The sequence below is a fragment of the Homo sapiens genome, chromosome 22, assembly GCF_000001405.40.
Source record: "Homo sapiens chromosome 22, GRCh38.p14 Primary Assembly".
NCBI lineage: Eukaryota > Metazoa > Chordata > Mammalia > Primates > Hominidae > Homo > Homo sapiens.
This window is the reverse complement of record NC_000022.11, coordinates 25,184,282-25,207,749: the sequence shown is the minus strand read 5'-3', so window position 1 is coordinate 25,207,749 and position 23,468 is coordinate 25,184,282. Positions and strand designations below refer to the sequence as shown.

General features: G+C 48.8%; 2 protein-coding genes across 11 annotated transcripts in view, besides 1 other annotated feature; both read right to left on the bottom strand.

The window, feature by feature from the left end:
- CRYBB3 (crystallin beta B3) lies at positions 391–7,892 on the bottom strand. 2 transcript variants are annotated; one of them, NM_004076.5, is made up of 6 exons: positions 7,841–7,892; positions 6,279–6,373; positions 4,958–5,076; positions 3,855–3,987; positions 2,388–2,530; positions 391–703 (listed from the first exon to the last, which is right to left on the bottom strand). In NM_004076.5, the coding sequence occupies exons 2-6, from the start codon at positions 6,351–6,353 to the stop codon at positions 538–540; spliced, it is 636 nt and encodes a 211-aa protein (NP_004067.1). In that variant the 5' UTR covers positions 6,354–6,373; positions 7,841–7,892; the 3' UTR covers positions 391–537. The 2 variants fall into 2 exon arrangements, with proteins under 2 accessions (NP_004067.1, XP_047297103.1); XM_047441147.1 differs by having other exon boundaries at positions 6,279–7,892.
- KIAA1671 overlaps positions 10,302–23,468 on the bottom strand; it is a 244,733-nt gene continuing 231,566 nt past the window's right edge. For 8 of the 9 annotated variants that reach the window (NM_001386933.1, NM_001386932.1, XM_047441556.1 and 5 more), the window contains 3 exons: positions 22,631–22,773; positions 16,966–17,048; positions 10,302–15,344 (listed from right to left, as the gene is read on the bottom strand). In NM_001386933.1, the coding sequence (NP_001373862.1) occupies positions 16,970–17,048; positions 22,631–22,773 (222 nt within the window). In that variant the 3' untranslated portion in view covers positions 10,302–15,344; positions 16,966–16,969. Of the gene's footprint in view, positions 15,345–16,965; positions 17,049–20,238; positions 20,629–22,630; positions 22,774–23,468 lie in introns of those variants that run through there. The other variant, NM_001386930.1, reaches the window with a different exon arrangement.
- Positions 19,950–20,119: an enhancer, noted in NCBI's record as "experimental_63172 CRE fragment used in MPRA reporter constructs". NCBI's record gives its function as "activates a minimal promoter by MPRAs in K562 erythroleukemia cells, with activity observed for the non-introgressed 22:25583683 variant allele {active_cell/tissue: K562}" and the evidence as "EXISTENCE:reporter gene assay evidence [ECO:0000049][PMID:34662402]".

Sequence of the window (23,468 nt, the reverse complement as noted above, 5' to 3'; positions counted from 1 at the left end):
TGGATGGGCACATGGGTGGGTGAATGGGTGGATGAATGGGTGGGTGGATGGATGGATGGATGGGTGAGTAGACGAATGGATGGGCACATGAGTGGGTGAATGGGTGGATGAATGGGTGGGTGGGTGGGTGGAAGGATGATGGATGGATGGGTGAGTGGATGGGCAGACTGACAGACATTCAGATGGAAACATGCAGCAGCAGACAAACACAAGATCAGGGCAGTAGGGGCACATGGCTCTGCCTGAAAGGATTAGAGCCTAGGATATGGGCAAATTTCCCAGCCCCTTCCTGGGAGTCTCAGAACACTCAAGCCCCAGCCTCCTTCAGCACGCCTCTCCCACAGGTCCCGCCCCAGGCCTGGCTCCCTCAGGAAGTGATGCCGAGGAACGTGGCGGGTGGGGGACCAACCCCAGGCTTTATTGAGCAGATTCCAGGGAAGGGTGGACAGGTCGGCCCTCGCCCCAACCCTGGAGCCTCCTCTTCTTGCCCTTGCAGCCCCCCAGGGTGGGTCTGGGTCCTTGAAGTCTGGGTGCCTTTCAGCTGCTGGGGAAGCGGCCCCGCTTGTGCCACTTCTGGTCACGGATGCGGCGCACAGACTGCAGCTGCGGCTGGCTGGCGTCCCACTCATTCCAGTGGCGGTACTCGCCCCGCTCAAACACGTACTGGCGCCCACGGTAGCCGGGGAACTCATAGCCAACCCACCTGCCGGGAGACCAAGGTTGAGATGTGGACGGTCTGCTTCCAGTCACCCTGCCTCCAGCCAGCATCTGACCATGCACTCTGCCTGCCTACATTCCTCTTTAGCTCCCCAGAGCCCTTGGGATGAATCCAAACTCTTTACCCTGCTCACAGGACCCTTAACAAAGCATCTCTAGCCTTATCTCTCAACATCCCATTCACACTCAACACCGTGGCCTCTCTTATTCTACTTTCCCGGAACCTGCTGTGTTGGGGGGCCTTTGTATGCATGATTCCTTCTGCCTGGAACACTCTTGCTCACCTCATCCCTCTCCTTCCCCCTTTTTTCCACTTGCATCCATTACAGCTCAATTTAGATGTCTCCAGACTCCTGCAGGCTGAATCGAGTACCTCACTGGGACTCCCAGAGCCCCTTGTGCATCCCAGTCCCAATCCTGATCACAATACGTTGTGAATACCTGTTACTTTGTCTGTCTCTCCATCAAACTATGTAATTTTTCTTTTTTTAGATGGAGTTTCGCTCTTGTTGCTCAGGCTGGAGTGCAGTGGCGTGATCTCGGCTCACTACAACCTCCACCTCCCAGGTTCAAGTGATTCTCCTGCCTCAGCCTCTTGAGTAGCTGGGATTACAGGCATGCGCCACCATGCCCGGCTAATTTTGTATTTTTAGTAGAGACGGGGTTTCTCCGTGGTGGTCAGGCTGGTCATGAACTCCTGACCTCAGGTGATCCGCCCACTTCGGCCTCCCAAAGTGCTGGGATTACAGGCGTGAGCCCCAGACTACGCAAATTTTTTGAGGGCCAGAGGATGTGCCATTCTTGTTGTTCTCTGTATCAGCACACCAGCATATAGTAGATGTTCAGTAAAAAATTGTTGAATAAATTATTATCAGGGATAGGTGGCACCTCTCAAGGCCCAACCCCAGATTACAAGCCCACAAGTGAGATGTAACCACCTACAAAAAGCAGGTGATCCTAAGACTGCATCAACGGTGATATTAAGCCTAGAAAGAGGGAGGTGATAAGCCTGCTCTCCTCTGTACAACTTGTGTCACATCTCAATAACTGCATACATCCTGGGCCCCTTGTTAAGAAGAACAAGAGTTGTGAGGGGGAAGAACATTTCAAGAATCAGTTCAAGGGTGTGGGGATGTTTAAAAAAGCAGGAAGGACTCAGATGGGAACAGGTGGAGAGAACAGATTTTACTTGTTTTAAGTCAAGGCTGCCTAGAAATCTCAACAGTACAGGAGTGCAGGGAACATGAATCATGCAAGAAACTATAGGCACCGATGGCCGGGCGCCGTGGCTCACACCTGTAATCCCAGCACTTTGGGAGGCCGAGGCGGGCAGATCATGAGGTCAGGAGATTGAGACCATCCTGGCTAACACGGTGAAACCCCGTCTCTACTAAAAATACAAAAACTTAGCCGGGCGTGGTCGTGGGCGCCTGTAGTCCCAGCTACTCGGGAGGCTGAGGCAGGAGAATGGCATGAACCCGGGAGGCGGAGCTTGCAGTGAGCTGAGATCGCGCCACTGCACTCCAGCCTGGGCGACAGAGCAAGACTCCGTCTCAAAAATAAATAAATAAATAAATAAAATAATAAGAAACTATGGGCACTGATTCTGTTTGGAGCCAGAGGCATGGCTGACCAGAAGATGGGGCAAGGGTGAGGGTTGGGTCCCTTACGTCCCGTTGATGGCACGGACACTCGCCACACGGTCCTGGAAGCCATGAGCCCACAGGCTGGGCACGTCATCATCCACTATCTCCATCTTGCGGCCACTGAAAGCTGGGTTCTCAAACAGATGCAGCTTGTGATGTGGACTATCCTGAGGGCAATATCGTGGGGTGAGCGGCTGCTCCCATATCCAGAACAGAGGTCAAGGAGGCTCCAGATGCCGGAAAGAATCAACAGGTCACCACAAAATAACACCCACCCCCAAACCTGCTGCAGGAGGGAAGGGCCTCAGGAGATGCCTCCACCCCCAAATTCACTGTAGGAGGGACGGGGAGATTCCTCCAAAGCTGGTTGATTTAGGAACCTAGAGCCGTAGATTATAAAACTGAAAAGGAATTTCCAGATCTTGTTCAATCCCATCATTTAAATGATAGAGAAACTGAGGCCAGGAGAGGGTGGACAGAGATCAAAAGTATCAACATATGAGCTTTCCCTCTTTCCTAACCAGATGCCGGTTTAATCTTCCCAGTTTCCCCTCTTCCACTGCCCTCTAAGGAGGACTCAGTTATGTGACAAAGAGAAAGGGCTGGAGCAGCTGCGGGGTGTGAGTGAAGCAGGGGAGGGAGAAGGGTGGTGTTTAAAGTGTCACTGTGGGCCGGGCGTGGTGGCTCAGGCCTGTAATCCCAGTACTTTGGGAGGCCGAGGCAGGCAGATCACTTGAGGCCAGAAGTTCAAGACCAGCTTTGCCAACATGGCAAAACGCCACCTCTACTAAAAATACAAAAATTAGCCCAGCGTGGTGGCATGTGCCTTCAGTCCCAGCTACTCAGGAGGCTGAGGCAGGAGAATCACTTGAACCCAGGAGGCAGAGGTTGCAGTGAGCAGAGATCATGCCACTGCACTCCAGCCTGGGTGACAGAGCGAGACTGCAACTCAAAATGAAATAAAAATACATAAATAAAAATGTTTAAAAAGAGAGAGAGAGAAAGACTGCACTCCAGCATGGGTGACAGAGCAGGAGTCTGTCTCGAAAAATAAATAAATAAACAAATAAATAAAAAGTGTCACTGTGGACTGTGTCCCTTTCAGGTGCTAGAAAAACACAAGTGGAGAACTTAAAGTATTTTGGCTACTTTCTGAAGTTATTTCCTGGACTGCATTTCTTTGATAACAATACTGATTTGAGACTGGGCCATGTGGCTCATCGTTTTAGTACGGTTACAAAGAAAAGTCCCAGTGCTATGCTGGTTTAATTCAAGATGTGAGTCCTGGTGTCTCAATCCCCAACCGAATGTCCCTTCAATATCCCACTTCTTGTCCCACACAATTGTTCAAATCAGAAACATGAGGGCCCTTCCCAGGCCAGGTCCATATGGGCCAAACCCTCAGCCCAGCTTGTGCAATGAGCTGCCTGACCAGCTCTCAGTGCACCCTGCTTCCAGGAACACCCAGAAGTGAGCAGGAACCACACTCACAATATTCAGAGGCCGGAGGGACAGAAGGCTGTCACTATCACGGCTGTTGGACCAGGCATCCCAGCGAGGATAATCCCCCTTCTCCAGAACAAACTGCTCCCCGCGGAAGGCCCTGGACTCAAATGCCAGCCACCTGAGGGAGGAAGAGGCTTGGCTGGGTCACCTTTGCTGCAGCTGAGGAAGGATTCAAGTTTAGTGAGAGAAGTGTCCAAGAGCTGCTGACCTTGAACCTTGTACCCTCCCTCCAACCCTACTGCTAATTCCTGGACCTGTAATTAAAGGAGCTGCTAGGACATACCGGGAACTGTCTGAGACTCTGGGCCAGAAAACCATCCTAGGGTATGTTATTGAGAATCTAGCCTCTGTGCAAGGTACCCAGAAAAGTCTTTAGCACAATGCCCGGTACACAGTAAGTATTCCATAGGTGACAGTGACTTCTTCCTCTTCCTTTTCCTCTTCTTTGTATTGTATTGTTATTAATATGTATTTATTTGCATCATTCCATTCATTTTCATAAAAACTCTCTCTGAAGTACGTACCATTGTTATCCCCATTCAACAGATGAGAAAACAGAGGCCTGGTGTGTGAAGCAACTTGCCGAAGATCACCCAGATGGTTAGTGCCAGAGCCTGGACTTGCAATCCAAAGGCGGGAATTCAGGGCCCAGCTGGGAGACCTGCCTGCCTTGTGGACATGGATGGGACACTTACCAACTTTGGCCTCAGTTTCCCCATCTATAAAGTGGGAATAAGAATGATACCTCTGTCACAGGGTCATGACGATTCAATGACATAATGCATGTTAAATTTTAGGTGTTACAATTATTATTAAAATTATAAATATTAAATCCCATGTTCCAGTCACTGAGTTAGGTGCTAGGTTGACCTTGCTGTTCTTCCAACCTCAGGTATCCTGGGATTTTCTGCAGACATCTAGGATTCTAGAGAATTCTTCAACTCTCATTTTACAGATGCGGAAAACGAGGCCAGAGAAGGCAGGGGAGCTGTCAAAAGCCCCACAACAGATCTAGAGCTCAGACTGGGGCCTCCACACTCCCAGAAGGCTCAGGGCTGTGGCGAGGGACTGGGGGTCTAGGTACTCACGGCCCGGACTCCACTTGGATGGAGCCCACCTTCTCCAGCAGGCTGTCGGTCAGGCTGGGGCACTCGGCCGAGAGCTCGCAGCGTTTGCCTTGGAAGTTCTCTAGTTCGTACAAGATCACCTAGAAGAGCAGAGTCCTAAACATCCCACCTCTGCTAGGCTCCCAGCTCCAGCCTCTGCCCCTCCTTTGGGCATTAGAGGGAGGTACCCTCTGCTTTCTGCATCTCTCCAGCCTGGAGCTGGCACTGAGGTGGGCCTGCACTGCCCTCTAATGGTCATGGAGGGAAACGCCTTCAGGAACTTCAATGAGACCAATTAAACTAGTGATTGCAACTCTGATGTCCAGCAGGAGCCAGGTGGGGAGTCCAGCGGACTGAAATAACCCGAGAGGTCGGTGGGGAAATGAAGCTGCTTCTGGCGATGAGGGAATGAGGTCCCAGTTCCAATTTTTTCAAGAGAGGTCAGAAATCTGTATTTTCCTTAATAGGAAATTTCCCCCTTAAAAAAATGAAAACACCTGTTTGCAGTCTCGGGGAAGACCTCTGCCTGCCCCAAGCCTAGGAAGAGAAGGGCTGCAAAGGCAGACCAAGGTTTTGCCTCTCTCACCCACCTGGAAACACAAACTGACTTTGTAGAAGATCCCCAGGGAACATCTGTTCTAGTCATTTTACAGAAGGGATCAAAGAAGCTCAGAAAGGGTAAGATACTTGCCTCGGGCTGCACAGCAAGTTAAGAGGAGGCACTGGGATTCGACCCATCCTTAGACTCTGTCTGGAATAGTTTCCCAAAAAGACCCCGGAGATGGTTTGGAAAGGGCAGAGCCAACACATTCAAACCTTCTCTCAGATTTCTAGTGTGCCTCCCTCTGCTAGCTGGCTTCACTCATGTCTTTCAGCCTTTACACCAACTCTGGGCACAATATCTGGGCACCATCCTCATTTCAAACATGGGGCTGTTGAGGCCCAGAGAGCCTCCAAACCCTGTGCCCTTTTCCCCAGAGTGGGCAAGACACCAGGCTGAGGTCAGACAGGAGAGTCAGAGCTCAGAGCCGTTTCCAGAAACCCCCGGGCCTCTCTGATCCATTGGTGCAGGCAGGATGTGGGTGACCATTTCTGTTTTGCAGACGAGGGAAGATGCAGCAAAGTCATGAAGCAAGTTTCTAACGGGAGGGTGGCAGTGAGAGGACCCACCCGGAGCGTTTTGTCCTGGCCTGGGTGGTTGGAAGGATGGCTCTTCCTTCCTGCAGAGGTGCTGCTTGGCTGGGAAGATGACCCTGAGGCCCAGGAGTAGCCTGGGCCCTCTGACCCCCTCCCTGCCCAGTACCTTGTAGCTGCCCCCAAGGTCTCCATGGCTCTTGCCAGCTGCAGCCTGTTCGGGTGCTCCGTGCTGTTCCGCCATCTCCCCAGGAACACCTCTGGCTTCAAACCAAAAGAAAATGGTTCACTGGATCCACCCGGGAGAAGCCAGGTGTTGATGTGACTGGAGTCCAGGATGAGCTACAGAGCCTTGCTGCCCATGGGGCGTGGCTGTAACTTATGATCGACATTCAGTCATTCAGCAAACATCCATTGAGCACCTGCCATGGGCCACGTGGACTGAGACAGTGGGATCAGGAGCCCCATTGTACAGAGGGGAACTCTGAGGCTCAGCAAAGTGAGGCCACTTCCTCAAGCACACAGTGAGGAAGTGGCCTGGGTCGGGCCTGGCTCCAAAGCCCGTGCCCTTTTCCCCTGATCCAGATGCTCCCCGAAACCCAGGTTTCTCAGAGCTCTCTGCAGATGTCCCACCCCCAGAACCTGGCTAAAGGGTGGGCTTCAGGGAGTTTCCTCTACAGGGGTCTCTCCCACCTCCGTACTCCAGGAACTCTTTTGTTCACTGGTTACTTTATTCAACAAATATTCCATGAGCACCTACACAGTGCCAGGCTCTGGGCTGGGTGACCAGGAGGGACAGGAGACCCCATATGTCGGGAGGTGGACAGACAGACCTCTAGAGAAAAGGCTTGTAAGACCAGGTCGTTGGACACCTGCTCCAGGTCAGTTTCCCTGCGTTCGGTTACTCATTCCTTAAGCATTTATTGAACACGACTGTGTACCAGCCACTTCAAGACCCAGACACCGACAGTTCTTCATTGCTACAGGGACAGTGACACGCAATACAGGCCCCTGCCGCAGTCACATGGAAGGATTCTCATCATTGTTGCACCCATGGACACACACAGGACTGTTCTGTTTGTCAGCACACACACATAGGTGCACACACTCGCAAAAGTTTCTATGGTCACTATCAGTTATATTTCACCCATGGGCTCACAGGACAGCTTCTTTCTCTCTCTCTCTCTCTCTCCTCACACACACACATCCCTGCCCATTTCAGACATCCACAGTGGTAAACAAGGCACCTACATCTACACCCCACATCCAACTGTTACCCACCCACGGCTCCCAGCACGGCCACCCCAGCATGCACAGCTGCACAGCCCACATACTCTGGATGTGGGCCTAACCATGCACAGCCTGCGGGCTGTCGGTTCTGTCTCTCCTAGCCTCAGCAGGAAACAGGGCTTGGTCCAGCTCACAGGGGACTCTCGGGGGACTTGGCAGGTACCATGTGTGCCCACTCCCCTCCCTCAGAGGAGCTGTTTTGGAAGGTCCCCTGCCCTAAGCACATGTCCAGGGGCTTGGACCCTGGCCACTGCAGACAAGGGTCCCTCGTTCCACCCCCAGCTGGGCTGTCAGGGTCCTCTCACTGGGACCTGACCCTTAAGGGAGGCGCTGTTTTTCTTTGCAGGCGGTCAGCCATGCGCGTCCCACAGAAACTACAAAAGGTCCGGGCCTGCCAGGGTGGCTTTTGCCTCCCCACCCCCAACCCATCCCAGAATGAACCTGTTGCTGTAGCCTCGGGAAGAACAGAGGAGCCACGGCCGTCTGCAGACTCGCCTGTCTTCGCAAGGGGCATGCTATTTATGAGCACTTTCTGACAGCCCAGCACATCCCAGCCTGCTGAGGCAGCACCCTGTCCACCCAATTCCATCCAGGCCACTTCACTCCAATAGCGGGTCCACGGAGGCCCCCAGTGCCTGTCTCCTCAGCCACCGTCTCTGATGACTTCCTGGGGACAGATGAACCTCACTGGCTTTGTGGGAAGCCCAGCAGCGCCAGGCAAGGGGCACGGTGTGCAGCTCTCCCGTGTCTCCCCACAACCACCAACTCCCTTTCTTTGGTTTCTTGGGGTCACCATTTCCTATTGAGTCACACGCAACCTTTGGAAAAATTCTAGTTCTTAAAGTGAGGGACCCCAGACACTCTCCAGTTTCCATGTGCCATGTGGCCTAAGTTTTAAGTCAGATCACGCTAACCATACTCTCCAACTTGGGCGCAAATCCACCCAACCGTTTCCATAGGATGCCGTCACAGAACTCACAGACTGACTTTCTTCATGTAGAAGACACGCACGAATAATAGCTACCATTTCTTGAACACCTACTACACGCAAGGCATTGTGCCAGCTTCACAAGCATTGTATGGAATTCTCATCCAGCCATCCTTAGGGGAGGAATTCTGATTCCACTTTATACATGGAGAAACTGAGTTCAGAGAGGTGAACCCATTTACTCAGAATCACACAGCAGAGAGAAGGGGCTGGCCTGCTCCAGGACCTGGGATCTTAGCCTCAATAGAAATAAAAGTGACCATCACAGTCAACTTATTTATGACCAAAGAAAAAAGGTAGATCCAGGTATTTTTATTTTATTTTTTAGAGATAGGTTGTTGCTACATTGCCCAGGCTGGACTCAAACTCCTGGGCTCAAGCAATCCTTTCTCCTCAGTGTCCTGAATAACCGGAACTACAGGCACGTGCCACTGCACCCAGCTTCCAGGAATTTTTTAAGTGTCTAACAAAGTATAATTTTGCCTGTAATCAATATCTAATAAGTGATTATTTTATGAATAAAATTATATTGGAGCAAAGGAGTGAGTTAACAAGGTTTTCTTTTGTTGTTGTTGGTATTTGTTTTTGGCTAAAATCCTCAAGTCAGCATAAAACCCAGTTACAGGCCGGGCGCGGTGGCTCACGCCTGTAATCCCAACACTCTGGGAGGCCGAGGCAGGCGGATCACGAAGTCAGGAGCTCGAGACCATCCTGGCTAACACGGTGAAACCCTGTCTCTACTAAAAACACAAAAAATTAGCCAGGTGTGGTGGCGGGTGCCTGTAGTCCCAGCTACATGGGAGGCTGAGGCAGGAGAATGGTGTGAACCCAGGAGGCAGAGCTTGCAGTGAGCTGAGATCGCACCACTGCACTCCAGCCTGGGCAACAGAGCAAGACTCCGTCTCAAAAAACAAACAAACAAACAAAAACACAGTTACCCTGTACCCCCTAGAGGGAGATGGTGGTGAGATGCTGTGGATGACAGCTGGACTCTGAGTCAGGCAGATGTGTGTGACCTTGGACGAGTTCCTGAAGGTCTCAGAGCTACTGTCTCCTCACCATAAATGGAGAACCTTCTCTCCACTTGGGCCATTTTGGGAGGTCATGCAAGCAAAGCACTGCGCACAGTATCTGTTATTTTTGACTTTTATTCCCAGCATCCTGCCTACTCTGGACAGTTCAAGCCAAGGGGCTACTTCCTGCTGAAGGTCACAGAAAGCAGTCGGTTTGGACCCCCTGAGTTGGGATGTAGTTGCCACCAGCTGGGACAGAAGGAGGAAGGCAGAGGTGGGGATGGCGTGGCTCCCCCTCCCATCACATCTTTGAGGACCTTGCAGACCTACTGCACGCTCAGCACTTTGATGTACCACATCTCCCCAATCTAGACTTTTCAACCTTGACACTACTGCCATTTGGGGTCGGGTCATTCTTTGTGGTGGGGTCGGGGTGGGAGCTGTCCTGTGCACTGCAGGATGCTGAGCAGCATCCCTGGCCTCTACTCACTTCCTGGAGCATCTTCTCTCCTTCTTGTGATAACCAATAATGCCTCCTTTCATTACCAGACATGCTCTGGAGGGCACAATCCACCCAGCTGAGAACCACCACCTTAAACTGTTACCTGCAAAAATGTCCTGATCACCACTCCCATTGTATAGCTAAGGAGAACCAATGTTTAAAAGAAATCCCACAGCCAGAGGGTGGCAGGAGGAGGACTCAACCCCTTGTCAGTCTGAATGGAAATCCTGCCTTGTTTCCATGGCCTCCCATTCTGCATGGACACCCTCTCCCAGGACCCCAGCTCTGCCCTCTCGCTGGCTGGCCCACAGCTCAGCACAGGACAGACTGACTCAGCCAGCCCCAGTCAGGGCCTGCATGCATGGGAGACTCTATTCATTCACACATGGACGCACCGACTTCTCCAATGCAACTTGCACCAAAGCTTTATTTGCTATTTTCATAGTCTGAATGCAACATCTTTGTACATGCAAAGGTCATCTTGTTTTATTGCAGTCGACCAGATTTCCAACTGCTCTTCTGTGCATATGAAACTTCTTTACAGTTACAAAATATAAAAGCACTTGTAGACGTCCAATACTCTGTGAGGTCTGGTAAGCCCCATTTGTTTTTACATTAAAAATATAAGTTTTTCTAGATGACTTCTCAGTCACACGGTTAGAGATTCTTTCTGGGACTGGATAAAGTGCCTCTCGTCTGCCTTCCGTTCAGAACTCCTAGAGCTTGTGAATTCCTAAGGCAATTGCAAGAACACCGCAGGCAGGAAGCTTAACTTTCCTACACAAAGAACTCGAGCTCCTTTTCTATCGTGACTCAAAGATCTGAGGAAGGACCCAGAAGAAAGGTTAGGAAAATATATACTATACTTGTGTGTGTGTGTGTCTCTGTGTGTGTGTGTATATATATATATTTCCACGCCCTGCCCCATCTTACAAAGCATTTGGAGGATCACGATCATCTGGGAAGTGCATGACTTTAGGATATTGGTATGATTTAGGAAACAGCACAGTACAAAATTATCTTCCATAACACAATATATTACTTTTGTGACCCCCCCTATTTACAGGATCTATAAGGCTATGTGGAATGAGATTATTAAAAAGCTCAAATTCAGCTGGGCATGGTGGCTCAGGCCTGTAATCCCAGCACTTTGGGAGGCTGAGGCAGTAGAATCACTTGAGACCAAGTTTAAGACCAGCTTGGGCAATATAGTGAGATCCTGTTTCTACAAAACAGATTTAAAAGATCAGCTGGGCGTGGTGATGTGCGCCTGTCATCTAGGCTACTCTGGAGGTGGAGATGAGAGGATTGCTTGAGCCCAGGAGTTGGAGGCTGGAGTGAGCTATGATTGTGCCACTGCATTCCAGCCTGGCCAACAGAGCAAGACCGTGTCTCAAGAAAAGAAAAAAAAAAAAGTTCAAATTCTTTAGAAAACAGCATAATTTGTAGCCCGTGTGATGCCAATAGGAATTGTCAAGGAAGTGCCCGTCCAAGTCATGGAAGATGATGTTATGGCACAGGTGTGAGAGCAACCACTGAAGGAGATTCTGGGAAGGCCAAAGGGGAGGGCGGGCTGAGGGGTGTCCATTTTAAGGGTTAACTTGCCGGAAACCTCAGGCCGACTTTCCAGAGCAGAGGGCCTAGCTTTCTGCCCTTCCCCCTGCAGGAGCCAATTTAGTCAAAAGAAAGCAAACTCTGGATTGGGGGGTGCAAAAGGAGACGCAGGCTGGCAAAGACCTGGCACACTCATGCCTACCAGCTTTTTACGTGGCTCTAAACTTCCTGAGCCCACCCAGAATTCCAACTGGGTGAGTCCTAGCAGCCTCTTAGCACACAGCAAGAGTCCCCCACTCGCTAATGGGACCGAGCCCAAAGCAGATCCCCTTTAGATGTGGAGTGGGTCCTATCCCTCCAGCCCCTCGGAATCATGATGCCATGGAACTTCGGCTTTTGTGTTTTAACACACGGTGAGGGGGAAGGCACATTCAGAGACCACAGAATGTCTCCCCATCACTTACTCTGGTTTAAATATCTACACTGGGGAGGAGGGATTTTTACAGTTTGCAATTACGACTAGTTCCAGGAGCCATCTGGGGGCATTATAAAGAAAAATTTTAAAGCATAGATCAACAAAGCAGCTATCAGCACCAGGTTGGAGCAGCTAAGGTCTCTTTTAGGAAAATCATGCTAAGGGTCTTTCTAAATCCTTTGCCCAGCCTGTAAAGTTTAAAACCACAGGCTCATGCCTATTTCTCTTTTGGCTTCTTGGTGATACCCTTAGTTGGCCTCCCTTCCAGGGAGGCACAAAGGCAAACACAATTGTCTGAAACCACATGATTTGGCGCGTCCCCCTGGAAAACACCGCCATCTGATTGTCCTTTCCCTGAATCCTGAGGCTATCAGGTCAGGTTCACTCAAAATCCCAACATCCTAAAGACCACGAGGTTTCTCTTTCACCAGAGTTTCTCCGGTGGCATGGAGTAATCCTCCACAACACTGATTTCTGAGGCCTTGTCATGGATTTTCAAAGGCCAAAAGCCTCTGTTTGATTAGGCAAAGGACCATGAAGAAGGGTATCTACTGAAGAGGAAAAAGATACAGGCTTCTCAAAAGATCAGCTGTTAAAATGCTGATGTGCAAAGGGGTGGTGGAGGTGAGGAGGAAGAGAAATGAGGGGGAGAGAGATTGTACATATAGAGGATTTTCCATTCTGCATGAAACTCTCATTGAGGACAGCCAAAGCCCCAGGGGAGGAGGGTTAGATTGAGGAGCGGATGACTCCATTACACACAGATGATTAAGGCATATTAAGTGAGTTTAAAAAGAAGACAGATTTCCAAAGGGGTCTCCAGGCAAAGTCTAGAAACTAGCATACAACGCCTCCTTGCTTAGCCTCAAAGAGAGCTCACTCCATTTAGAATGGGGATAAGTAAATCACCCATTTGCCCAGCTATCTGCAAAGGCTCCCAATCATCAGTTACTTCTAACTTCATTGCACTGATCATAAGCAGGTCTCAGAGGTCATGGCAGAGCCCACGTGAAAGAGGGTCGCTCTTGACCCACTGTGATTGTCTTCCCTGTGGTGCTGGAGGAGACAAGGTTATAGAAAAATAAAAGGAGGTGAGGAAGATCTTCAGGGCTTGCCCTAGTCACTTTCAAGGAGGGTGAACTTTGTATATCCTAATTAACATAGAATTAATTGATTATTTTTCCAATTAAGGTATGAGAGATTAGGGAAAAAAAATCTCCAGGTCAATCTCATTTTCAAGTGTGTTTCATTCCTGTCTGATATCCTTGAGCTGAGACATGACTAATTAAGAATTGAGAGTTTTGCATGAGGACCATCAATATATGTAAGAGCAGGTCCTTTCCTACTGCTTGAGATGGTACCAAGGGGTCCTTTCCACCTGAAGGAAAGAGAGACAGCAGCCCAGATAAGAAGTCAGGATCAAAAGACTAGGAATGTGTTTCAGGCCAGGTGCAGTGGCTCATGTCTGTAATCCGAGCACTTTGGGAGGCTGAGGAGGGACAATTGCTTGAGCCCAGAAGTTCGAGACCAGCCTGGGCAACATGGTAAGACCCTTGTCTCTACAAAAATATTTAAAAATTAGCTGGTCATGGTAGCATACACCTGTAGTCCCAGCTACTTGGGAGGCTGAGGTGGGAGAATCACTTGAGCCCAGGTGTTAGTGAGCTATGATCGTGCCACTCCACTCCAGCTTGAGCAACAGAGTAAGACCTTGTCTCAGAAAAACAAAACAAAACAAAACACTAGCAGGGTATTTTTAAAGGGGATCCTATTGACGTTGAAAGCCATAAGATCAAAATTATTATAAAACATAAACTGGATCTTTAAAAAAGAATTCGACTGAAGCAGTTGCAGGCATGAATCCCCAAATGGCCACGGAGAACTGATGACTAATTCAGGGAATGAAGAGAAAACAAACTATCATCAGCAGGGCCAAACTCCCAAACCCAGATGCATGAGGCTCCCAGGTGTAAAAGGCTGGGTGGGTGACATGATCTGGCAATTGCTCATCAGTAACCAAAGCTCATCGAACAGGACACAAGGTGGGCTCCGGCCTCACAGCCCTGCAGTTGCTGTCCCTGGTGCTGAACAGCAACTGCCTCACCAGGGCCCAGGTGTTTATCCTAACCTAAAGAAACAGAGGATTTCTATCCATGCCCATCCACCCACTAAGACAGAGAAGAGGGGTAAAGGAAGATGAGGGAGGAAGCTGAGACAGAGAGACAAATGAACTCCTGAGAGGTAGCCAGGGAGAAGGAAAGCATGTTTTGACAGCATTTGCAAATAATGGATTCATCAAGAAAGATGAAGGAAAATGAGGTGAGCAAAAGCAAAAAGTACCCTTCATTCATGCATCTGTTCTGAGGCCAGTTTGGAACAACTCCTCCATGCCAGCAGCCCACGTCATGTTCAAAGAAGACTCTGGAGAAAAAGATTACTAGGGCAGGTCTGATGATTCATAAGCAAAGGCACCACCACTTGGGCTGCAGTTTATGAACCCTTAAGGCCAAGGGGCAAAGGTCACCCTACCGAAACCAGAGCTCAAATGAAAAGAAGCCATGGAAATAAATACAAGAGTGACAATTATAACTTCTAAACAGCTTGGATAGGGATAAGATAACCTGAGGTGACTGGATACTTCAGAACAAATTATTCGCACATCTTTCCTCCTGTCCTTTAACGTAAACACATATATACCTATCAAGTTTCAAAGAAAATTAGCTGAATTATTGCTTTATCGCCTTCTAAAGCAAACAAAAATGACATACAATAACATAGGCCAACGATGCACACAGCCCCACTAGAAAGAGAAATACACATAATCAGGGAGAGTATGTTTAAAAATTGGAACTGCTGATTCCTCAAGGGGAAGAAGGAACTCACCAAAAAAAAAGAATAGAAAACCTCAACCCAGCGGTAATACCCTGCACCGAGACTACAGCAGAAAATGAACAGTTTGATCTTCCTTGGAAATGTCCTTCCAAAAAAAGACCTGCCCCGGGGTCGGGTGAGGAGGTGCTTTCACAAATGCAGGTGTTTTTCAGAACCTGGGGAGACAATTCCAGCCTCACACTGATGTTCTTGGAGCTGATGAAGGTGTCTAAAATAGGTAGAAATGCAAATTTTTACATAAAAAGCAAAACCACCCACATGGACGTTTCTGGGCAGCCTGGCTCCTTTCCCAGCCTGAAGTGCTGTCTGGGGAGATGAGCGAGTGCTCCTGGAGGTTGGGTCTTCCCGTCTGGATCCAGGGAGAGCCTGGCGAGGACAGGGGCACTGGATAGCGTTCTCAATCCAATGGGAAGGGCCCAGGCACGTAAGCGTTGTGCAGGAAGAAACGGCAGCAGCTCGGCCTCGTCTGCGGGTTCTGATGGTTAAGGCTTCTGTTACGTAGATGTGGCAGTGTTCCCTGCCTGGAGAGGAAGGGACAGTACTGGTGTCAGCAGTGGGAACATTTGGCTCCATTGCTCTCTACCCTCAGTCCTTAAAATCTCACCTGATATTCTCCAATGAAGTCACCCCTAGAAGCCTAAGGTCACAAAAGAGATTTTTTGTGTTGGGTGGAAAGGGGAGGTGAGGAGGGTGGCAGGCATGGAATACAGTGAAACCAACATGAAATTTAGGGTCAGGTCAGGGTTCCAGTCTCAATTCTGAGCCTCAGTTTCCTCAAAGGGGTTGCTGGAGGCTTAAATGAGATATTACATGTACTGCACCAAACACAAAATAAACACAGGTCCCGATCCCTTATCCAAATCCCTTGAGCATAGTTTTATTTGGGAATTTATAATTTTTAGTATTTATTATACATACACACATGCATCATACATAATCATGTAATATATACACATATGTATATATATACATATGTAACACCACCATAATCAAGCAGATAATATTCCTGCAGTGTATTATGAACATTCATATAAAGTGGGGAAAATAGAGTCAAAGTAGAATTATATTCACTCAGGTCAGGTTTTACCACTGACTTAGGAAAAAGCTTTGTTTTGCAGGGCTTTCTGGAATTTGGCTTTGTGGATAAGGGATGGTGAGTCTCTTGTGCTCATCACATCAACGCTGACTTTGATGGTGCACGTACCATGAGCTCCTATACTGAGGAGAAACAGGCAGCACTCAGTCAAGCACCACAGGTGCATTCTCAGTGAGCCCTGAGGACAACTCGGTGGTGTGGACACTGCTAACCCATTTTACAGATGAGGAAACTTAAGTTCATGATGTTCAGTCATTTGCAACTTACACCAGGGCCTATCTAATCGTAATTTTTAATGTATATTTTTTCAAATTCATTTTTAACTACATAGGTTGTATATGAAACACTCCCCCTATAAAAACTGTAACCATTTCTGGCCGGGCACAGTGGCTCACGCCTATAATCCCAGCACTTTGGGAGCCAGAGGTGAATGGATCACCTGAGGTCAGGAGTTCGAGACCAGCCTGTCCAACATGGTGAAACTCCATCTCTACAAAAAATATAAAAATCAGCTGGGCATGGTGGCAGGCACCTGTAATTCCAGCTACTTAGGAGGCTGAGGCAGGAGAATCGTTTGAACCCGGGAGGCAGAGGCCGCAATGAGCCAAGATCCGAGATTGCATCATTGCACTCCAGCCTTGGTGACAAGGGCGAAACTCTGTCTCAAAAAAAAAAAAAAAAAAAAGTAACCATTTCTAATTAAGCTAACCTCTGATGTCCCCGCCCTTTTGTTTTATCAGAGGGGACTGTGATGCAGCTAGAAGGGTCAGCCAAGTGCATGAGACCAGAGCCCCAGTCACCTGCCTCCTGGCCTGGTACCTTTCACCCACTCCAGGCAGCCCAGCTTTGTTTTCTCCCTAAATGGAAACAGACATAACCATCCTCTTTACAGGAACTCAGAACACCCCCCACCCCTCATTCTTCCCCTTACACAGCCTCTTTCCTTGGGTACAACAGCCCCAGTCTCTGAAGCGTGGCCCCCCTGAGTTCCCCATTCCTGTGACTGCAGGGCTCTTCCCAGGTTCCCCAACAGAGCCCCTTCATACCTGGTCAAACTTGGTTCTCATAAAGACTTTGCCTCTTCTTGGATTTCAATTCCTTTAGCCACTGGGGAGAGGGTTCATCCGACCTGAAACCACAAAGCCAGTAAGAGACTAGTTGAAACCAGACTGTGGGCTCCTTGCGGGCAGGACTGAGTGGTATCCGACTGTCTATCCCTGGGCCCAGGCGGGGTTGGGGCAAGCACTCAGAGGTGGTAAAGATGCCCATATTAACGGGACTGATAAGCAAGAAGTAGAAATTAACCACAGTGTCCAACAATGGGGAATATTAAATAAATCAGGGGTCCCCAACCCCCTGGGCCACAGACCGATACTGGTCCATGGCCTGTTAGGAACAAGGCCACACAGCAGGTGGTGAGTGGTGGGCGAGTGAGCGAAGCTTCATCTGTATTCACAGCTGCTCCATCACTCACATTCCACCTGATCTCTGCGTCCTGTCAGAGCAGCGGCAGCATTAGATTCTCATAGGAGTGTGAACCCTATTGTGAACTGTGCATGCAAGGGATCTAGGTTGCGAGCTTCTCATGAGAATCTAATGCCTGATGATCTGTCACTGTCTCCCGTCACCCCCAGATGGAACCATCTAGTTGCAGAAAAACAAGCTCAGGGTTCTCACTGAGTCTACTGTGAGTTGTAGAATTATTTCATTCTAATTACAATGTAATAATAATAGAAATAAAGTACACAATGAATGTAATGTGTTTGAATCATCACAAAACCACCCCCCTATACCCCTGGTCTGTGGAAAAATTGTCTTTCACAAAACTGGTCCATGGTGCCAAAAAGGTTGGGGACCGCTGAAATAAATCACGATATATCTGTTCTATGAGATAAACTGCAGTTATAAAAATTTATCTTGGTTGGACACAGTGGCTCATGCCTGTAACTCCAACACTTAGGGAGGCAGAGGCAGGAGGATAGCTTGAGCCCAGGAGTTTGAGACCAGCCTACGCAACACAGTGAGACCCCATTCTCCACAAAAAGCAAACAAACAAACAAAAAATTCGTCCTATATAAAATTATTTCCATCCATCCATTTGTCATGCAAATAGCTATTCATCCTTCCATCTCTCTATCCAGGTAAGTGTCTGTGATGGTTAGTTTTATGCATCAACTTAAACCTAATGTGTACCCAGATATTTGGTCAGACACTATTCTAGATGTTTATGCAAAGATATTTTTTCTTAGATGAGGTTAACATTTAAATCAGTAGGCGCTGAGTAGCACAGACTACCCTCCGTGATATAAAAGGGCCTCATCTACTCAGTTGAAGGCCTGAATAGAAAAAGACTGGCCTCGCCAGGCACGGTGGCTCACGCCCGTAATCCCTGCACTTTGGGAGGCCGAGCTGGGCGGATCACGAGGTCAGGAGATCAAGACCATCCCGGCTAACACGGTGAAACCCTGTCTCTATTAAAAATAAAAAAAAATTAGCCGGGTGTGGTGGTGGGTGCCTGTAGTCCCAGCTACTCAGGAGGCTGAGGCAGGAGAATGGTGTGGAGGCAGGAGAATGGTGTGAACCCAGGAGGCGGAGGTTGCAGTGAGTGGAGATGGCTCTGCTGCACTCCAGCCTGGGCGACAGAGCAAGAATCCGTCTCAAAACAAAAAAACAAAAAAACAAAACAAAAAAAAAAAAAAAAAAAGAAAAAGACTGGCCTCCCAGGAAGAAGAGGGAAGCCTTTTGGACTTCGACACTTCCTCACATCCCCAGCCTGCTGGTCTACTCTGCAGATTTGGGACTTGCCTGCCTCCACAATCACATGAGCCAATTCCTTAAAATCAATCTCTATACATACATACGTGTGTCTACATGTGCATACATATCTATATACGTACATGTATATACAGCTGACCCTTGAACAACACAGTTTGAACTGTGTGGGTCCACTTGGATTTTCTTCTGCCTCTGCCGCCCCTGAGGCAGCAAGACCAATCCCTCCTCTTCCACCTCCCCCTCAGCCTACTCAATGGGAAAACAATAAGGATGAAGGATGAAGACCTTTATGATGATCCACTTCCACTTAATGAACAGGAAATATATTTTCTCTTCCTTATGATTTTCTTAATAACATCTTTCCTCTAGCTTACTTTATTGTAAGAATATATAAAATATAACATACAAAATATACGTATGTGGTTATGAGTGAGGCTTCTGGTCAACACTAGGCTATTAGTAGTTAAATTTTAGAAAGTCAAAAGCTACATGCAGATTTTTGACTAAGTAGGAAGTCAGTACCCCTAATCTCTGCCTTGTTCAGGGATCAACTGTATTATTTACACACACACACACACACACACACACACACACACACACACACACACCCGATTGGCTCTGTTTCTCTGGAGAACTCTGAACAATACAATGCCCATAAGACATACAGCATACAGAGCTGCCTTTTGTTTATCAAAGGTCAACAATAATTGTTTTGGGGAGGTGAGATTTGTTTAAACTGTTTGTTTGTTTGTTTTGAGACGGAGTCTCTCTCTGTCGCCCAGGCTGCAGTGCAGTGGCGCCATCTCGGCTTACTGCAAGCTCTGCCTCCTGGGTTCACGCCATTCTCCTGCCTCAGCCTCCCGAGTAGCTGGGACTACAGGCGCCCGCCACCACATCCGGCTAATTTTTTTGTATTTTTAGTAGAGATGGGGTTTCACTGCGTTAGCCAGGATGGTCTTGATCTCCTGATCTTGTGATCCGCCCACCTCAGCCTCCCAAAGTGCTGGGAGTACAGGTGTGAGCCACCATGCCCAGCCTGTTCAAACGTTTTTAAATGGAAGAACACATACAGAAAGGTACTCAAATCAAAATGTGCACAGCTCAATGAATTTTCTCAAAGTGAATACATCTGAGTAGCCACCATCTACATGGTACTACTTTTGACTTTTATTTTTTAACCTTCTTCTTAGCAGTTTTCTGTGTTCTCAGAATTTCTTATAATGAGAACACAACATTTTAATAAAAAACAATAAAGTCAGGCCAGGCACGGTAGCTCATGCCTGTAATCCTAGCACTTTGGGAGGCAGAGGATCATCCAGGAATTCGAGACCGGCCTGGGCAACATGGCGAAATCTTGTCTCTACAAAAAAATACAAAAATTTGCCAGTCATGGTGGCACACAACTATGGTTCCAGCCACTCATGGAGGCTGAGGTGGGAGGATTCACCTGAGACTGGGGAGGTCGAGGCTATAATCATGCCATTGCATTCCAGCCTGGGTGACAGAGTGAGACCCTGTCTCAAAAACAACAAAAAACAATAAAGTCACCATTGTTTAAAACTTTATTCAAGAAAAAAAAAATCACGTTTATGAAGATTGTTAAATGGGCACGGGAAAACATTCATATGGAACATGGAGCAGGGGAATCAAACTACGCAAACGTCGTGATCTCAGCTACATTACAAAGAAAAAGAAAATGGAAGGAGAGATGCCCAGATATCAACAGTCATGGTCTTTGCACAGTAGGATCGTGGATGATTTTCTTTTCCCCTTTGTATTCTTTTTGTATTTTCTACAGTCACTGCTTTTATAATCAAACACACATGCACACAGGACGTGACTGATTCTGTTCTCAGAGAAAGCTCCTGAGACCCGTGGCCCTGGAGGGGTCGGAAAAGATGCTGGCCTGTTGGTGGTACAGTGGGGGTCTGCACCTGAGGGGGTGAGAGATTAGGTGACTCTGGAGTCTAGGGGCAGGCCTTCAACTGCTATGCCTGCCAGCCTAGGAATGAGGAAGAAGAGGGCCCCCTGGGCAGATGGGGGTCTAGGGTACTCCAGACTTCAGCCAAGCTTTGCCTAATAGTGGTGACACAAGCCCAGGCCTCCAGAGGTGCCTCTGAGGCCCTAGTCTGGGGGTTTCTCCAGCCACAGAGAAATGCTGGAGCCCTCCACTGACTCTGGAGCCAGAATTCTGGCATTACCAGAGCAGGGAGGCACTGTCTCAACTATGGCCCTGTCTTTCTCTAATGTCTCACCTTCTGGTTCCCACAGCCCACTCTGCGCTATGTATTTTACACTGCCTGAGGCTCCCAGGTACATCTGGCCTCCAGGCCTTTGCATGTGCAGTGGCTTTAGCCTGGGATCCCCTCTCACTGCCCGTGGTCCAGCTAAGACCCAATTGTCCACCATGATTCAGTTCAAGTATCTCCTTCTCTTGGAAGCTTCTTTTTTTTAATTAGAGAGGCAGGGACTTACTGCATTGCCCAGACTGGAGTGCGGTGGCACGATCATGGCCTCCATCTCCTGGGCTCAAGGGATCCTCCCACTTCCACCTCTGGAGTAGCTGGGACCACAGGCATGTACCACCACAGCCAGCTAATTTTTTTTCTTTATTTCTTTTTTTATTTTTCGTGACAAGGTCTCATTCTTTAGTCCAGGCTGGAGTGCAATGGTGCAATCATAGCTCACTGCACTCCAACCCCTGGCCTCAAGTGATCCTCTCACCTCTGCCTTCCAAAGTCCTGGGACTATAGACGTGAGCCACTGCACCCAGCTGGAAGTCTTTTCTGCCGCCCATCCTCAAGTGTGCATTATGAGCCCTTCACCTGCCTCCCTCCATCACAGGGGTCAGAGAAAGGGCCAGAGAGTAAAATATTCCTGATTCTGTGGGCTGTGGGACATCTGTGCTACTTCTTAACTCTGCAGTGGTAGCACTAAAGCAGTTATGGACAATACATAAATGAATGCATGTGGCTGTGTTCCAATAAAGCTTACTTACAAAAACTGATGTGGGCTGGATTTAGCCTGTGGGCCATAGCTTACCCACTCTTGCTCTGATCCAACCAGCACTTACTATCATTACAACTCTAGCATCAGGAACAATCCCTAACTTTCATGGATTAACAGTGCTCATGATAAGATTTCCACTCTGCTTCACTGAGTACTTCTACATCCCAGGGCTCAGGCACAGGGCTTTAGACACACTCTTGTTTCATCCTCATGACCACCTCGGAAGGTTAGGAGGTTAGAAAACCCACTTTACAGTTGAGGAAACTGAGGTTCAGGAGGTCAAGTACCTTTTCCCACATCATGCAGCTCTTAAGCAGCAATGGTGGAATTAAACCCTGGCTGTGTGACCTTAGATCCCCTGTTCTTAACCTCCACCTCCAGCTGCTGAAACACCCCTCTGAGAGCCTGAGAGCCTCTTGGGGGGCAGAAGCTGCTTTGTGCTCGTCTCTACACAGAACAGCCCAGGATCGGGATAGCTGTTCCACGAAGGGAGTGAAACCGATCTCATTCAACCTGGCCGTGCCCTTTGATCCACCTTCCCAGGTCCTCCAGATCTCTGATAATAAAGATACTTCCCCAAAGGGGAAGAGGAGGGAGAATGCCTCAGTTTCCCCATCGGTCTGGAGAGGGCTAAACTAGATCAGTAGTTCTCCAGCAATGGTGCCCTGGCGTTCCATGTAGCAGGTGGCAGTGGGCGGGGAAGAGGAGAGGCCAGCTGGCCTGATTCCTGGCCTCCTTCCCCGGCCTCTGTTGTACTTTTTAGGTATCTGAGTATTGAGAATTCTCATGAACAAAGCTTCTGCTGCTAGAGAAAATTAAAAAGTTGTAACTCTCTTCTATTCAGCTCTAAAACCTATGCGAGCACCTCTCTAGAAGTATAGCCTGAGTTTGGAAGGAGAGGGACCCCCATTCCCCAAGACCCCTCACCTCTCATCCTTGTCCATGCTGGAAGGCAGCACGCGACTGCCCAGCACCCCAGGCTGGAAGGGGGACTTGGGGCTCTTGGGTTGGGGTGCCCAGCTGGGGGTCTCGCCAGGACTGTCCACCTCTGGCCTCTTGTGCAGCTGAGCCTGGGGAGAAAAGAGAGCTGAGTCTATAAGCTGCCCTTTGTCTGGGGAAGGGCCCCCTCCCATGCAAATGTCAGGTACAATGAGCCTTCTGCAAACACTCGGGGCCCCCTGAATCGGAATAAACCCAGACAGGAAACATGGGGGCTGAGAAAAGTCAGATGTCAGTCTGGCATTCCAAGCAGCCACCCTCGACCCCCAAGATCGAATCACCACCCAAACCCCACATAATCACATTCTCTTTTGCTGAAAAGCCACCATTTGTAGTGTGCTCAGCACACGGCATGCCACCCTGAGAACTCTACATGGAGAGAGCAGCTCCCTCCATCCAACAGCTGCAGCTTAGCTCCGTTCAGTTCCTTACTCCTGGAGCCATGTAAATAAAATGAAGTTTTCGACAGTCTATTAGAGTCCCATAAGAAAACCGGAGGGCAAATATCCACCCATTTTTGGAGGGCATGTTGGGAATGGAATACAATGGTGTGCATAAAGTTCCCTTGCGGGACCTGAGGTGTGAGTGGTGGCAAGTGGCTTCTCTCTCCCAGGCCGTGTTGGGTCAGCCCCCAGCAACAGCAGTCATTACCATTGTCCACTGATAGCTTCTGTGCACTGATCACCCATCACTTTTGCTCTACCAGGCTCAAGAAATATGACAAATGTGAGTTCGTTCCATGTGTGTATGATTCTTTTAGGGCAGA

Excerpts from the sequence above, each read along its gene's own strand:
- CRYBB3 (XM_047441147.1), bottom strand. The coding sequence starts at position 6,353 with ATGGCGGAACAGCACGGAGCACCCGAACAGGCTGCAGCTGGCAAGAGC. Across the intron at positions 5,077-6,278 it reads ACCTTGGGGGCAGCTACAAG|GTGATCTTGTACGAACTAGA; the intron begins GTACTGGGCAGG and ends CTGCTCTTCTAG. Across the intron at positions 3,988-4,957 it reads ATCCAAGTGGAGTCCGGGCC|GTGGCTGGCATTTGAGTCCA; the intron begins GTGAGTACCTAG and ends TTCCTCCCTCAG.